Below are 16,040 nucleotides of genomic sequence, written 5' to 3'. Positions count from 1 at the left end.
TGATCTCCCCGACTCCAATTCCTTCTCCTCGTTTTTAGACTCTCTAGCTCCTGGCTCATTGTTGCTCTCTCCAGTACTAATCCTATCTTAGTTCTCAGTGATTTAAAATATATGTAGAATAACTATTCACAATAGCAAAGACATGGAATCAAGCCAAATGCCCATCAATGATAGACTGGATAAAGAAAACGTGGTATGTATACACCATGGAATACTATGCAGCCATAAAAAGGAATGAGATCATGTCCTTTGCAGGGATAGGGATAGAGCTGGAGGCCATTATCCTCAGCAAACTAACACAGGAACAGAAAATCAAATACTGCATGTTCTCACTTATAAGTGGGAGCTGAACCATGAGAACACATGGACACTTGGTGGGGAACAATGCATACTGGGGCCTGTCAGGGGAGGGGGTAGGGGGAGGCAGTGAATCAGAAGCAATAGCTAATAGATGCTGGGCTTAATACCTAGGTGGTGGGATCATCTGTGCAGCAAACCACAATGGCACATATTTACCTATGTAACAAACTGCACATCCTGCACATGTACCCTAGAACTTAAAATAAAAGTTGATGAAACAAAATTAAAACATACACACACACACACACACACACACACATATATATATATATATATGTAGAATAGATGGTGATCTTTCCAATGCCCTGGCCTCTCATTTCCTTGACTCCTCTTCTCTGGTGACATTGTACTCCACCCAATGCTCCATTTCAGACACTTACTCCCATGAGCGTCCCCTAGAATTTGTCATTATCAATAGCTGCATCCCATCTATAATTTCTTTCATGAATCCACTCTCTGATCATACCTCCTGTCTTTCTAGCACATTCCCTCTAGTACTCTGACCCCAACAATCCTGTCCCTTCACCAGATATCCAATCCAAAATCTTGCTGCCTCTTTTCTGGCTCCACCCTCTTGACATCCTGACTTTTCTGCTTATCCATTAAGTCTGTGGTCAATTATTTTATTCACTCCTTTGCATATGCTCTACATTCCCTTGCTCCTCTCTCACTTTGTTGAGCTCTCTTGGCAAGTTTGCAATTCTGATTAAATCCAATTTTCTAAGTTGGCTCCACACCCATGCACCTGAGTGTAGCTGGGGAACGGGGTGGAAAACCAAAATCCTGTTAATTGAACTCAATTTAAAATCAAGGCCAAGACTCTCAAGTGGGTCCTTTATGCCACTGGACAAGCATACTATGCACCTTTAGCCCATGCATTCTTCTGGTCTCCTTGAAAGCTATGCTATACTTTCTTTTTTCTCAACTCCCATCATCCTGTCCTCCACCAATTATCTTGAGAATATTTATTGAGAATACTGATGCATCAGGAAAAAACTTCCACGGAATCTCACTACTACATCGAACTATCTACTAGCATCTTTGCCAACATACTCTTTCTTCGTGTTTTCCATGGATGAATTATCTAGGGTCCTATGTAAATCATTATACTTCGTTTGTGCACTGGATCCTATCCCTATTACCATTTCAAAGGCATCAAGGGCACATGCTTTCCCTGGTCCCTGTTACATGATCAGTTTTTCACTCTTTACCACCTCAATTCCATCAGCATACAAATATGATGTTGTTTCTTTCAACTTAAACCAAAATTTTTTTAAATTTTATTATTATTATACTTTAAGTTTTAGGGTACATGTGCACAACGTGCAGGTTTGTTACATACATATACATGTGCCATGTTGGTGTGCTGCACCCATTAACTCATCATTTAGCATTAGGTATATCTCCTAATGCTATCTCTCCCCACTCCCCCCACCCCACAACAGGCCCTGGTGTGTGATGTTCCCCTTCCTGTGTCCATGTGTTCTCATTGTTCAATTCCCACCTATGAGTGAGAACACGTGGTGTTTGGTTTTTTGTCCTTGCGATAGTTTGCTGAGAATAATGGTTTCCAGTTTCATCCATGTCCCTACAAAGGACATGAACTCATCATTTTTTATGGCTGCATAGTATTCCATGCAAACCAAAATTTTTGATGCCACTTCCCCCTTCTGTCTTTGGCCCCAATTCTTTGCTCCCCTTTGCAGTGTCGAGCTGAATATTCTCACTGTGTCCAATGTTCTCCTCCCATCTTCTCTTAAACCAACTCTAATTAGAAGCACCCCTCCCACTTTACTCCACTAAAACTATTCTCTTCAGGGTCACACATGTCCACATCATTGCTACGTAAAATAATTAATTTCCAGTCCTCACTTACTTGACCTATTGGTAGTTTTGATACAGTTGATCACCCCCTCCTTGGAAACTTTCTTCATTTGACTTCTAGGACACCACATTCTCTTATATTTTTCACTTACCTCATTGATCACCCCACAGCTTCCTTTGCTGTTCCTCCTCTTCTCCCTGAACTCTAAATGTTGGAGCACCCCAGGACTCAATCCATGGTTCTTCTCTATCTGCACCCACTGCCTTGCTGATCTTAATCAGTTTCAAGGCTTTAGGTACCATCTATATACATCTATATACCACAGACTACCAAATTTATGTTTTTAGTCCAGACCTCTCTCTTAAATTCTAGAGTCATGTCCAAAATTGAATTCTTGATCATGCCTCTTAAACCTACTCTTCCTGCATTCCTCCCTGTCTAGGTTAACAGCAACTCCACCAGCTGGGTACAGTGGCTCAGGCCTGTAATACAAGCACTTTGGGAGACTGAGGCAGGCAAACTGCTTGAGCCCAGAAGCTCAAGACCAGCCTGGGCAACATGGCAAAACCCTGTCTCTACAAAATAATAATAATAATAATAATAATAATAATAATAATAATAATAATAAATTATTAGTAGCTGGGTGTGATGTTACACTCCTGTAGTCCCAGCTACCTGGGAAGCTGAGGTGGGAGGATCACTTGATCCCAGGAAGCTGAAGCTGCAGTGAGCCATGATTGTGCCGCTGCACTCTAGCCTAGGTGACAGAGTGAGACCCTGTCTCAAAACACACACACACACACCCCCTCCAAACAATGCTCCCCTGGCAACTGCACCCTTCCAGTTGCTTGAACTAAAAACTATAGAGTCATCCTTGACTCCTCTACTCATTTGCAGCTACCAGTGTGACCCCATGTTCAATCTACCAGCAAATCCTGTCAAGGCTATTCAAAATGTGTCTAGAATCTAATCAATTTTCCTCACCTCCACTGCTGCCATTCTGGTTTGAGACACCATCAAATATTGTCTGGATTGTTATACTAGCCTCTGAACTAAGGATAGCTTCCACTCTTGCTTCCAACACTGCAGTGAGATTGACTCTTTTAAATCCTATCTGTGTCTCTCCTTTGTTCAGAAGCCAGCAATGGCTCCTAATTTCAGTCAATAAAAGTCAAACTCTTTATATAATCTGCATTCTTTCTCCCCTTCCCACTCTGCTGCTTTGCCCTCTGATTTTGTTTCCTTGTTCATTGTTCATTCTGCTTTAGCCACAGTATCTCCTTGCTGGTCTTTGAACACACAAGAGAGAGCCCCACATTGGAGCCTTTGCACTTGCCACTCCCTTGCCTGGTATGCTCTTCCCACATGGCTAAGGTCTACTCAGACCCCCATAATTAAAATTGCCATGGTCCATGCACTCAGATTGGGGCTGAGACATGATTGAAATTGGTCCAATAATGTATGAGTTGGGGAATCATATTTCATTCAGATAGCTCTCTTCTGGATCAAAATAAGAACATGTAGCAGCTCTGGTCATGGCAGGGAACCGTTTTGCAACCACATGGACATCAATATTAGAATGAAACAAGCCCTGGGAATCATGACAGGAAAAACCTAGTGAGAGGAAAAACCAAGTCCTTGCTGATGTCATTGAGCAGTTCATTCATTCTATGCCTGGAGCCTGTCCTACTTGTGGTCTTATAACTATATGAGATAAATTTCCTTTTTAAGCCAGGAATCTTGTGATTTGAAGCCAAACGCATCCTAGCTGACGCACTAAGTGGGCACTTGGTAATACTCTCTGGTTTGTTGAGCACCTATAAAACCTATGGGAAGAAAACTAATCCCTGTCTAAACCTGGAGTTCAAATGTATACACTATATCTAGTGGGATGTGAGATGTATGTGAAAACCAGATTGCAGACAGAGGCAGCTGAGACCCTGAGATAAAATAAATGTTGGGAAAGAATGATTCTGGCAGTATGGGCAGAAGCAGTCTGAAGTCCTAGAAGTTCATGAAACTGGACTAGAACCCATGTAGACCCAGACACTTCAACCCCATCCTACCTTCCCAATGCCAGCATACATATTATCCGGAAAAGAGAGGACTATGGTTAAGTCACAAAACTGTTCCACTATGTGACATAGCCCTTTGCTGTGGGATCCTCTCCAACATCCCCCGCCCCCAAGTTTTGGATACCGGAAGAATAAAGTGTTTTCATCCCAGCTGGAAAGAAGAGAGCAGTGAACTGCAAAGACTAACAAATGGAGATGCCAAGGAAATCCTGAAGGACATGGTGACAATGGCACAGATACACAGTAATATCAGTGGCCAAGCCCCAGCTAAGCACAGGCACAAATCCTCAGAAATCTAGAAACAGGTGAGGGAGAAATGAGGTGAGGCAGACAACAGCTCTTAATATACATGAGACAAGTATCTTGGTAGTAGCTATTTTTACAGCCACCCTTAGGCATGGATGTTCAAAAGACTCTCAAGCTTGTGGGACCGAGGATATTTCTGGTTTGGGAAGTAATTTCAAAACAAAGATCAAGAACCTATCCCATATTTGAGCTTCATCACTTACCTATAACCTATGACCTTACCCTAGAGAGTTATATATACACTGGGGTTCAGGGATAGAGTAAAGATCGGGAATGGTGTGAAGACATTTGTGGTACACATTGCTTGGTTATTTTATTTTATTTAAATTTTTTTTTTTTGGTAGAGATGGGGGTCTTGCTATGTTGCTCAAGCTGGTCTCAAACTCCTGGGCTCAAGCAATCCTTCCACCTTAGCCTCACAAAGTGCTGAGATTATAGGCATAAACCACTGCACCTGGCTACTTGGTAATTTAAAAAAATAAACTGAACGTTTCTTAGGCTTTCATCACAATGACCTCATGAAAATAACCTGTAGCCAGGAGCCATGGCTCACATCTCTAATCCCAGCAATTTGGGAGGCTAAGCCGGGAGGATCACTTGAGCACAGGAGTTCGTGACCAGCCTGGGCAATGTGGAGAAACCCCGCCTCTACAAAAAAAAAAATACAAAAATTGGCTGAGCATGATGGTGTGTGCCTGTAGTCCCAGCTACTTCAGAGGTTAAGGGGCGAGGATTGCTTGAGCCCAGGAGGTTGAGGCTGCAGTGAGCCGTGATCATGCCACTGCACTCCAGCTTGGGTAACAGAGAGAGACCTTGTTTAAAAAAAAAAAAAGAAAGAAAGAAAAGAAAATAACATGTGCTCATTATTCCTCCAGTTCTATATGCATGTGTGTGTATATACGTATTTACATATTATATACACAGATAATATATAATATTTTAAAATAGCATTCGGTTTGTGTTCTCTTATAACTCAATCTTTTCCCATTTAATACATGAAAAACATTTTTCTAAAAATCGATTATGTCACAACATGATATATACTAAAATTTTAACAATTATCCTCTTAGGATTGATGGAGGAAAAGAGTATTCGGTACTTCATTTTCTTACTTGGGCTTTTTGTGTTTTCAAAACTTTCTACAGTTATTATGTATCATCTCTGTGATTAGAAAATCCTCAACTCTAAAAAATAATTTCCTCCAACACTTTGTGATTGATCTCATTTGATTGTTTTCTTTCTAAACCATTTTCATGGCATTTTTCAGTTTAGGGTATGTTGCTATGATAACATTTGCCTAGTCACCACTGACTTTTAAAAGTCTGATTTTTATGTTTGAATAACTTTCAGCCAAGGGCTTTTTATAATTTCAATATTAGCTAAAGTTTTTTTTTTTTTCTTTTTCTTTTTTTTTTGAGACAGAGTCTTGCTCTGTCGCCCAGGCTGGAGTGCAGTGGCGCCATCTCGGCTCACAGCAAGCTCCGCCTCCCGGGCTCACGCCATTCTCCTGCCTCAGCCTCCCAAGTAGCTGGGACTACAGGCGCCCGCCACCAAGCCTGGCTAATTTTTTTGTATTTTTAGTAGAGACGGGGTTTCACCGTGTTAGCCAGGATGGTCTCAATCTCCTGACCTCATGATCCGCCTGCCTCGGCCTCCCAAAGTGCTGGGATTACAGGCGTAAGCCACCGCGCCCAGCCTAAAGTTTTGTTTTTGAAGCAAACATTTATTTACCCCTAGGAACCCCAGACATGTGGGAAAAAAAAATCTGAGATTATGGCTAAACATTTTCTCTTTCATTAAAATACTCAGATTGCTTACAATTTGAGACTGGAAAACGACTTAGAGGACCTAGTCCAACTCCTACAGTTTACAAGTGACACAACTGCTGCTGGCCATAAGAACTCTGGGTGCAATATTTATTGGAAAAATACTTACAAAAATGTTTATACAATAAAAATATTATTTAAGATATCCAAAATTTCTTTGGCATATAATGAACATAAATCTTGTGTATTTTCACTCTGAAGGATTTGACTTTCTGTCCAGGTGTGGTGGCTCACGCCTATAATCTCAGCACTTTGGGAGGTTGAGGCAGGTGGATCACCTGAGGTCAGGAGTTTGAGACCAGCCTGACCAATATGGTGAAACCCTGTCTCTACTAAAAATACAAAAATTGGCCAGGCATGATGGCACACACCTGTAATCCCAGCTACTTGGGAGGCTGAGACAGGAGAATCGCTTGAACCCGGGAGGTGGAGGTTGCAGTGAGCCGAGTTCGCGCCACTGCACTCTAGCCTGGGCGACAGAGCCAGAGTCCGTCTGGAAAAAAAAAAAAAAAAAAAAAGGATTTGACTTTCTTTTCCTTGTCACTGAATAAATCTGCCAAATAAACCCTATCTTAGTCTGCTCAGGCTGCCATAACAAAATCCCACAGACTGCATAGCCTAAAAAACAAACATTTATTTTCTCACAGTTCTGGAGACTGGAGGTCTAAAATCAAGGTGTTGGCAGGGTCCAATTTCTGGGAAGGCTCTCCTTCCGGCTTGTAGATGGCCCCCTTCTTGCTACACCCTCACAAGGTCTTTCCTTGATGCATGCATATGGCAAGTGTGAACTAGCTCTCTGATGTCTCTTCTTATGAAGACATTTCATATAAAGACACTAATCCTATAGGATCAGGGCCCTACCCTTATGACCTTATTTAACCTTAATTACTTCCATAGATGTCCCATCTCCACGTACAGCCACTCCAGGGGTTTGGGCTTCCACATAAGAATTTGGGTTGGGTGATAGGGCTTGGGGGGGTGTTAGAAACATTCAGTCCATAACAAACTCTCTGTGCATAATTTCAAGAAATGATGTTACATCATCAGGTTTCAGAGTATACATCCTAACAACACTTGGTCATTCATTATCCACATCTTCCCGTCTTTCACAGCAGTTATTGTTCCTCTTGTTCTTCTTGTACAGAATTTATTACATTGTTCTGAAATTTTATGGAAGAGTAAAGCTTGGATGTAATCTGGTGCCTTTATAATGAAGACAATAACAAAGGTCTGTATGTGCAAATATTCAGCATATTTAGGTTTAAAAATCCTAGTAATTTTTCAGATCAAATGTCCTCAAGACTCATTCTGACAATTCCACATTTACCCTCTCATTACATAGCATCGTTCTTGAATTTTTGCCTTTTTTGTCCTCCATGATGATACTCAGTATTTTTTTTTCCTACATACTGACTGTTTCTTCTGTTTTCTTAACTAGCTCTTCTTCTGGCCTGTATAATGTACCCATAGGCTGAATTTGTTGATCTTCTTATTTTGTCTTAGAGGTTTCATATAATCTCATTCTTCATCTATCAATCTCTAAGTCAACTACTTTGATATTTGTGTCATCAGCCCTAACCTGCCCTGCAGATTCTCTTCTCACCTCCTGCATTTATTGAAAAATTTCATTTGGATTTCTTGCTTTCATCTCAAATCATCATGTCCCAAACTGATTGTTTCCTAGAAAATCAACTTCCTTGTTTCTGGTCACATGGGCCAAGGTAACTCTGAGTAATTTTGACTGACTGATTAATACTATCTTCAGAAGGATTTACTGAGCACCTCGTAGTAGGTACCTATATCTAATAAGTCACCAAATCTTGTTCTTCTGTAGTATTTCTGATATGTGTCTGGGTCTTTTCCAATTTGTTTGTTACTTCATGTTTGAGGTTTTGCAGTATCTCTTACCTGGTGAACCCCTACTTATCCTTTATTACTCAATTGAAAAGCCACCATTTCTGTGTTGCAGGTTGAATTGTTTACCCCCAAAATGTACGTTTAAGTCCTAACCCTGAGTACCTCTGAATGTGACCTTAATTGGAAATAGGGATGCTGCAAATGCAATCAAGTTAAGACAAGCTCATATTGGATTAGGGTAGCCCCTAATTCAATGACTAGTGACTTTATAAGAAGAGAGAAATTTGGACTTGGAGACACAGAGGAGGAAAAGGCCATGTAACAACTGAGGAAGAGATGGGAATGATGCAGCCACAGCCAAGGAACTCCAAAGATTGCTGGCAACCACCAGAAGCTGGGAGAGGTGTGGAACGGATTCTTCCTCAGAGCCTTTAGAAGGAATAAACCATACACAGACATCTTGATTTCAAACTCTGGCTTCCAGAACCGTGAGAGAAGAAACTTCTGTTGTTTCAAGTCACTCTTTGTGGTAACTGGTTACAGCAGCCCTAGGTAACTGAAACACTTTATAATCTCCATGAAATCATTTATAATCTCCCCAGAGTTAATCATTTCTTCTAGGTTCCATAACATTCAGTACTACTTTCCATCAGAACTCTTTTTTTGGTATTGTTTTCCTGTGGGCTTGTGGAGCATTGGTGTGTAGCAGAGGAGTCAGTCATCTCTGTGTACCTTGCATGCTGCTTGGCACAGAGTAACTTCCCAATAAATGTCTAATCAATGAAAGAAGTGATGACCTTGCCTTCAGCCAATAATAATTACAACTATCATTTAGTGAGCACTCACCGTTTGCTAGGCACCGTGTTACTACTTTACACGCTATGTTCTGACAACAATTCTCCAACACCAACTGGGTGTCCTGCAATTCATCCCAATTCTAACACTACTGACAGATTCCACAAGTTAAGGACAAGGTCCATAATTTCTAACACTAACTACCCAGAGTTAATGCAGACCCCACAAGTAAAGGTCTCAGTCCCATGAATCAGCCCCCACTTCAGATGCCAGCTACAAGACTCAGGTATCTCTAAGCTATCTGCATCTCTGCCTAGCTAAATACAAATTTGAGAGTCCCCATGATTCCCTCCAAGTTGGATAACTCACCAGAACAATTCACGGGATTCCAGAAAGTGCTATGCTTATTATTACCATTTTATTATAAAGGACACAAATGAACAGCAAGATAAAGAGATAGGGCTGCAAGGTCTGAAAGGGCACCCAGGATGCAGCTTCCATGCCCTTTCCAGATGCTCCACCCTCCCAGAACATCAATGTGTTCTAGTTTATTTGGCTGTAAATGCCCTTGCTCTTTTTAAGTAATCCACGAGCCTTACAAATCTCCACTACTCTGGCCACTAAAGTTGAGCTGTAAATAAAATTTTAAAGATAAAACAATTTTAAAGATAATTGCAACTCACATCTCCAGGACCTTTAATGTTGAATGTAGGTTAATATCCAAAAGCCAAAAACAAAAACGTTTTGTGTTGTCTGGCAATCCAGAAATAAGGACAGAATCATAGTTTGAGAATAGTCCAGAAGATGTTTTAGCTTGGGGTTTGAGAGCAAACACAAATGAAAAGGAGGTGAGAATGATGAAGAGATGGTTAGAGGGAAGAGGAAGCATGCAGATAGGTCTTTAAAAATCAATAAAATTTCCTTTGGATTAGTGATGTTATTTACAAAGCACTTTCCTTGAAATTGCAGCTTTAAAAGAAATAGAGAAGCATTAGATTACTGAGTTATTGGATTTCATGTCTATAAGTAAATGCTTTATTTTCATAAGATAGCTTTCTTATCTAAACTGAGAGGGAGCAAATACTTTTTCACTTTTTTACGACAATTTTTAAAATTTAAGTATAATATACAAATTTAAGTATAAAATATACACAAATCCTAAGTATAAACAGCTTGCCTCATTATCAAGAAGTGAAAGTTATGTAATCAGCCAGGAAACAGAACATTACTGAAATCCTGGAATTCCTTCTAAGTACCTCCTCCTGATGATTATGCCTTCCTCCTCCCCAAAGATAAACAGTTTCCTGATATGTAAGACCATAGATTACTTTTGTTTGCTTTTCAGCTTTACATTATTCTTTATACTATTCTATATATTCTTTGCATTTGATTTCTTTTGCTTAGCATTATGTTTGTAAGCTACATCCATGAACATGTCAATTTGTTCATTTTAATTGTATAAAGTATGTGATTATATGAATATAATTTATTCATTTTTTCCAATAGTGGACAATTTGAGTTGTTTCTAGATTTTAGCTATTAAGAATAATGTGGCTATGTATATTCTTGGTTATGTCTTTTGTAAACTTGTGCATGCATTTCTATTGGACACATACTCTACTTAGGAGTAGAACTGCCAAGTAATAGAACTTGCAGTGTGTGTTCAACTTTGGTAGATACTGCCAATTTTCCAAAGGAATTGCTTCATCTACATAATTTGTGGGGCCCAGCAAGAAGTAAAAATGTTGGACCTCTTGTTCAAAAAGCAGGAAAAAGCCCTATTAAAGATACTTAAATATTAAAGCTTGTTTCTTTTGAAATCTCTTGACTTGCCATGATGTTTTTTATTTGCTATTTAATGTAGTAAATAAAAAATCATTTAAAATTATTAGCACAAATTTTGCCATTGATATTTATATTTTGCAATGATAGTTTTTTTTTTTATTAAGCTCTTGGTATTTATTAGCTCATTTAGTCCTTACGGCACTCTGAGTTGGATATTATTTTCTTTACTTTTCTTTCTTTCTTTTTTTTTCTTTTTTTTTTTTTTTGAGACGGAGTGTCGCTTTTGTTGCCCAGGCTGGAGTGCAATGGTGCGGTCTCGGCTCACGGCAACCTCCGCCCCCAGAGTTCAAGCGATTCTCCTACCTCAGCCTCCAGAGTAGCTGGGACCACAGGCATGTGCCATTGCACCTGGCTAATTTTGTGTTTTTTTGTTTTGTTTTGTTTTTTCCTTTTTTTTTCTTTTTTTTTTTTTAGTATTTATTGATCATTCTTGGGTGTTTCTCATAGAGGGGGATGTGGCAGGGTCATAGGATAGTAGTGGAGAGAAGGTCAGCAGATAAACACGTGAATAAAGGTCTCTGGTTTTCCTAGGCAGAGGTCCCTGCGGCCTTCAGCCGTGTTTGTGTCCCTGGGTACTTGAGATTAGGGAGTGGTGATGACTCTTAACGAGCATGCGGCCTTCAAGCATCTGTTTAACAAAGCACATCTTGCACCGCCCTTAATCCATTTAACCCTGAGTTGACACAGCACGTGTTTCAGAGAGCAGGGGTTTGGGGGTAAGGTTATAGATTAACAGCATCCCAAGGCAGAAGACTTTTTCTTAGTACAGAACAAAATGGTGTCTCCTATGTCTACTTCTTTCTACACAGACATGGTAACAATCTGATCTCTCTTTCTTTTCCCCACATTTCCCCCTTTTCTTTAGGACAAAACCGCCATCGTCATCATGGCCCGTTCTTGATGGTGGCTGTCTCTTCGGAGCTGTTGGGTACACTTCCCAGACCAGGCGGCCGGGCAGAGGCGCTCCTCAATTCCCAGACGGGGCGGCCGGCCAGGCAGAGGCGCACCTCACTTCCCAGAAGGGGTGGCGGCCGGGCAGAGGCCCTCCTCACCTCCCAGACGATGGGCAGCCAGGCAGAGGCGCTCCTCACCTCCCAGATGGGGCGGCCGGGCATAGACGCCCCTCACCTCCCAGACGGGGCGGCCGGGCAGAGGCGCTCCCCACCTCCCAGACGAAGGGCCGCCAGGCAGAGGCGCTCCTCACTTCCCAGACGGGGCAGCCGGGCAGAGGGGCTCCCCACATCCCAGACGATGGGCGGCCAGGCAGAGATGCTCCCCAGTTCCCAGACGGGGTGGCGGCCGGGCAGAGGCTGTCATCTTAGCACTTTGGGAGGCCAAGGCAGGCGGCTGGAAGGTGGAGGTTGCAGCGAGCGGAGATCACGCCACTGCACTCCAGCTTGGGCAACACTGAGCACTGAGTGAGCGAGACTCCGTCTGCAATCCCAGCACCCCGGGAGGCCGAGGCGGGCAGACCACTCGAGGTCAGGAGCCGGAGACCAGCCTGGTCAACAGGGCAAAACCCCGTCTCCTCCAAAAATACAAAAACCAGTCAGGCGTGGTGGCGCGCACCGGCAATCCCAGGCACTTGGCAGGCCGAGGCAGGAGAACCACGGGAGCCTGGGGCAGGGAGGCTGCAGCGAGCCGAGACCACAGCAGCACAGTCCAGCCTCGGCAACAGAGGGAGACCAAAGGTGAGGGCGAGGGAGGAGGGAGGCAATGATAGTTTTAAATACAAATTTAAAAGGGCGTTTAATGCATATGTGGAATCACCAAAATGACACGATTTGTATTTCATAGCTTGTACATATTTATTTCATTCTTATAAGAACTGTGGAAAATTCACACAAAATTAAATCAATTATTTTTATTTCACTTCTTCATACATGCAAACTATATCAACACTCTCTACCTTCAGCTTATTGCAAAGGATAACCTGAAAAGAAAAGGAACTATGATTGCCATATCTTTCCCTTTCCTTCCGTGTCTTTGAGTGTAAGTGGTTGACATTTACAGGGAAAGAACACAAGTAAAAAACTATGTGGGCTGGGCACGGCGGCTCACGCCTGTAATCCCAGCACTTTGGGAACAGAGGCGGGCAGATCACGAGGTCAGGAGATCAAGACCATCCTGGCCAATATGGTGAAACTCCGTCTCTACTAAAATACAAAAAAATTAGCCGGGCATGGTGGCGGGTGCCTGTAGTCCCAGCTATTCGTGAGGCTGAGGCAGGGGAATCGCTTGAACCCAGGAGGCGGAGGTTGCAGTGAGCCGAGATCGCGCCACTGCACTCCAGACGGGCAATAGAGCAACACTCTATCTCAAAAAAAAAAAAAAAAAAAAAAAAAAGGATGTGACAGCCTGTAATCCCAGAGCTTTGTGAGGCCAAGGCTGGAGGATTGCTTGAGGCCAGGAGCTCAAGACCAGCCTGGGAAACACAGCAAGACCCTGTCTCATAAAATTTAAGAAATTAGGTCCGGGCACGGTGACTCACGTCTGTAATCCCAGCACTTGGGAGGCTGAGGTGGACGGATAACCTGAGGCCAGGAGCTTGAGACCAGCCTGGCCAACATGGTGAAACCCAGTCTCTACAAAAAATACAAAAAAGTTAGCCGGGAGTGGTGGCGGATGCCTATAATCCCAGGTACTTGGGAGGCTGAGGCAGGAGAATTGCTTGAACCCGGGAGGCGGAGGTTGCAGTGAGCTGAGACCTGCGCCATTGCACTCTAGTTTGGACAAGAGGGAAACTCCATCTCGGAAAAAAAAAATTAGTTGGGCATGGTGGCATGCATTTGTAGTCTTAGCTACTAAGGATGCTAAGATGGGGTGAGCCCTTAAGCCCAGGAGTTTGCAGAGAGCTATGATTGCACCACTGCCCTCCAACCTGGGCAACAGAACAAGACCCTATTAAGAAAAAAAAAAGGATGTGAAAAGATTCCTTGGTCATTCATGTTTCTTAAAACGTCATTGCTTTCCTTCTGCATTCAAAGTAAGTTCTCCTCGGTAAGGAAAGCTAGGCCTCTTGGGGCTGTCTGTGCCTTCTCTTCTCTTCCCTTTACTAAGTCACAAGTGTGACATGCTTATCTTTTACTAGCTTTGAGTCTAGCTTAACTCCCAAACATTGCAGGTCTAACAGAATTCTGAGCTCATGGGGCATGCTAAATGCTTAAATGCAAATGATTGGCAGGAAACAGTGGACATCCACATTGTGCATACCTCTTCTATTCATGTTCATGTTCCATTGTACTTTCAGACTTCACTTACAAAACACATGTTCAAAGGCAAAATTACTAAGTATTTCAAAATGGTGACAGCTGAGCATTAAACCAAGTGCAGAGTCCTTCGGAGTCCAGGGCTCTGTGCAATAGCATAGGTTGCACACCTTTTAAGTCAGCTCTTATTTGAGTTCTAGATAATCCAGTTTTGCCAACACTTGATATTATCAATCTCTTAATTTTAATCATTTGGTGGGTGCTTAGAGATATCTAATTTTGGCATTTATTTACATTTCTCTGATCAACTTTTCATATATTAGCCACTTGGCTGTGTGTGTGTGTGTGTGTTAGGTTCCTGTTTCAGTCTTTTTTCCTTCTTTTTTTTTGTTTTTGAGGTGGAGTTTCGCTCTTGTTGCCCAAGCCAGAGTGCAATGGCGCGATCTTGGTTCACCACAACCTCCACCTCCCAGGCTCAAGCAATTCTCCTGCCTCAGCCTCCCGAGTAGCTGGGATTACAGGCATGTACCACCATGCCTGGCTAATTTTGTATTTTTAGTAGAGACGGGATTTCTCCACGTTGAGGCTGGTCTCGAACTCCTGACCTCAGGTGATCCACCCGCCTCAGCTTCCCAAAGTGCTGGGATTACAGGCATGAGCCACTGCGCCCGCCTCCAGTCTTTTGTCTATTTTTCTATTGACTGTCTTTTTTTGGTCTGGATTTGTAACAATTGTTTTTATATTCTGAAAAGGAGCCTTAGGTAGGTTATATGTATAGCAGATATCTTCCCCTACTCTATGGCTTCCTTTTCACTCTCTTATGGTATATTTTGATTACTAGAAATTCCTAATTTTAATATAATTTAATTTGGCAATCTTTTCATTTGAAGTTAAGTGCTATTTTGTATCTGGTTTCAGAAATCTTTGCCTTCCTCCAAATCATATTCTCCTGTATCATTTTCTTTAAGTTTTATTGTTTTTGCCTTTCACATTTATATCCACAATCTATCTGGAATTTATTTTTTTTTGTAACTGGTAAGAGGTAAAGGATCAAACTTTGCTGATGCTGTTTTTAGTCAATACAAAGGTGGGTTCCCAATTTAGCTCCAGTTTGTCCTCTATAATAAATTCCATTATTACGGCGGGGCAGAGAAAGAGGGGATGGCTTCGGGTTAGGATGGGAGAGAAAACGGATTACATTCCCAGTGTCATCTGAAGTAAAACTTTTCTCAGATTTTTCTCAGCAAGCTTTTTAAGTCCTCTCACCTGGAGAGTGACTAAAGAGATAGAGGCCATATCCCATTCACCTATCCATTCAACAAACTAAACTAAAACGAGGGGCCGGACACAGTGGCTAACGCCTGTGATCTCAGCACTTTGGGAGGTCGAGGTAGGGGGATCACTTGAGCCCAAGTTCGAGACCAGCATGGGCAACATGGCGAAATTCCGTCACTACAAAAAATACAAAAAATTACCCGGGGGTGGTCACCTGACCTCAGGAGGTCAAGGCTGCTGTGAGCCGAGATAGAGCCACCGCACTCCAGCCTGGGTGACAGACTGAGACTCTATCTCAAAACAAACCAACAAAAACAAATTAAAATGATATGCTTGTAAAATGTTTGTAAAATCATAAAAGATAAAGTGTTTTTTTGTTTTGTTTTGTTTTTCTTGTCATTGTGGAAGTGACGTTAGTTCTTTTGGCAAAGGCTTCTGAGAACATCAAGTTTAAGGATTTAGTTTAGAATAGACTGTTCCACAACTGTTCTGAATTCCACTTGCTAAGTGTTCGGGTGTTGTGGTTAAGGTGAGGACTGGGCAATGTGGGTAGATCAGAGTAAACTCATCAAAACAATTCCAAGGGACCCTAGGATGACACTACTCTGGGTATGTCTACACCTCTTTATATTGGAATGACAACAATATCATGAATATTCACTCTAAT

The 16,040-nt window shown here is 42.0% G+C and overlaps 2 annotated features.

Moving 5' to 3' along the window:
- Positions 11,994–12,196: a silencer, noted in NCBI's record as "fragment chr12:66568604-66568806 (GRCh37/hg19 assembly coordinates)". NCBI's record gives its function as "represses an EF-1alpha promoter that drives an FKBP-Casp9 reporter gene in an ReSE screen in phorbol 12-myristate 13-acetate-treated (for megakaryocytic differentiation) K562 erythroleukemia cells {active_cell/tissue: K562(+PMA)}" and the evidence as "EXISTENCE:reporter gene assay evidence [ECO:0000049][PMID:32094911]".
- Positions 13,844–14,044: a silencer, noted in NCBI's record as "peak1773 fragment used in MPRA reporter construct". NCBI's record gives its function as "represses an SCP1 promoter by STARR-seq MPRAs in K562 erythroleukemia cells {active_cell/tissue: K562}" and the evidence as "EXISTENCE:reporter gene assay evidence [ECO:0000049][PMID:32103011]".

Source organism: Homo sapiens, chromosome 12, assembly GCF_000001405.40.
Source record: "Homo sapiens chromosome 12, GRCh38.p14 Primary Assembly".
Taxonomy (NCBI): Eukaryota; Metazoa; Chordata; class Mammalia; order Primates; family Hominidae; genus Homo; species Homo sapiens.
Note: the sequence above shows the minus strand (reverse complement) of the source record. Positions and strands in the feature narration are given on the sequence as shown.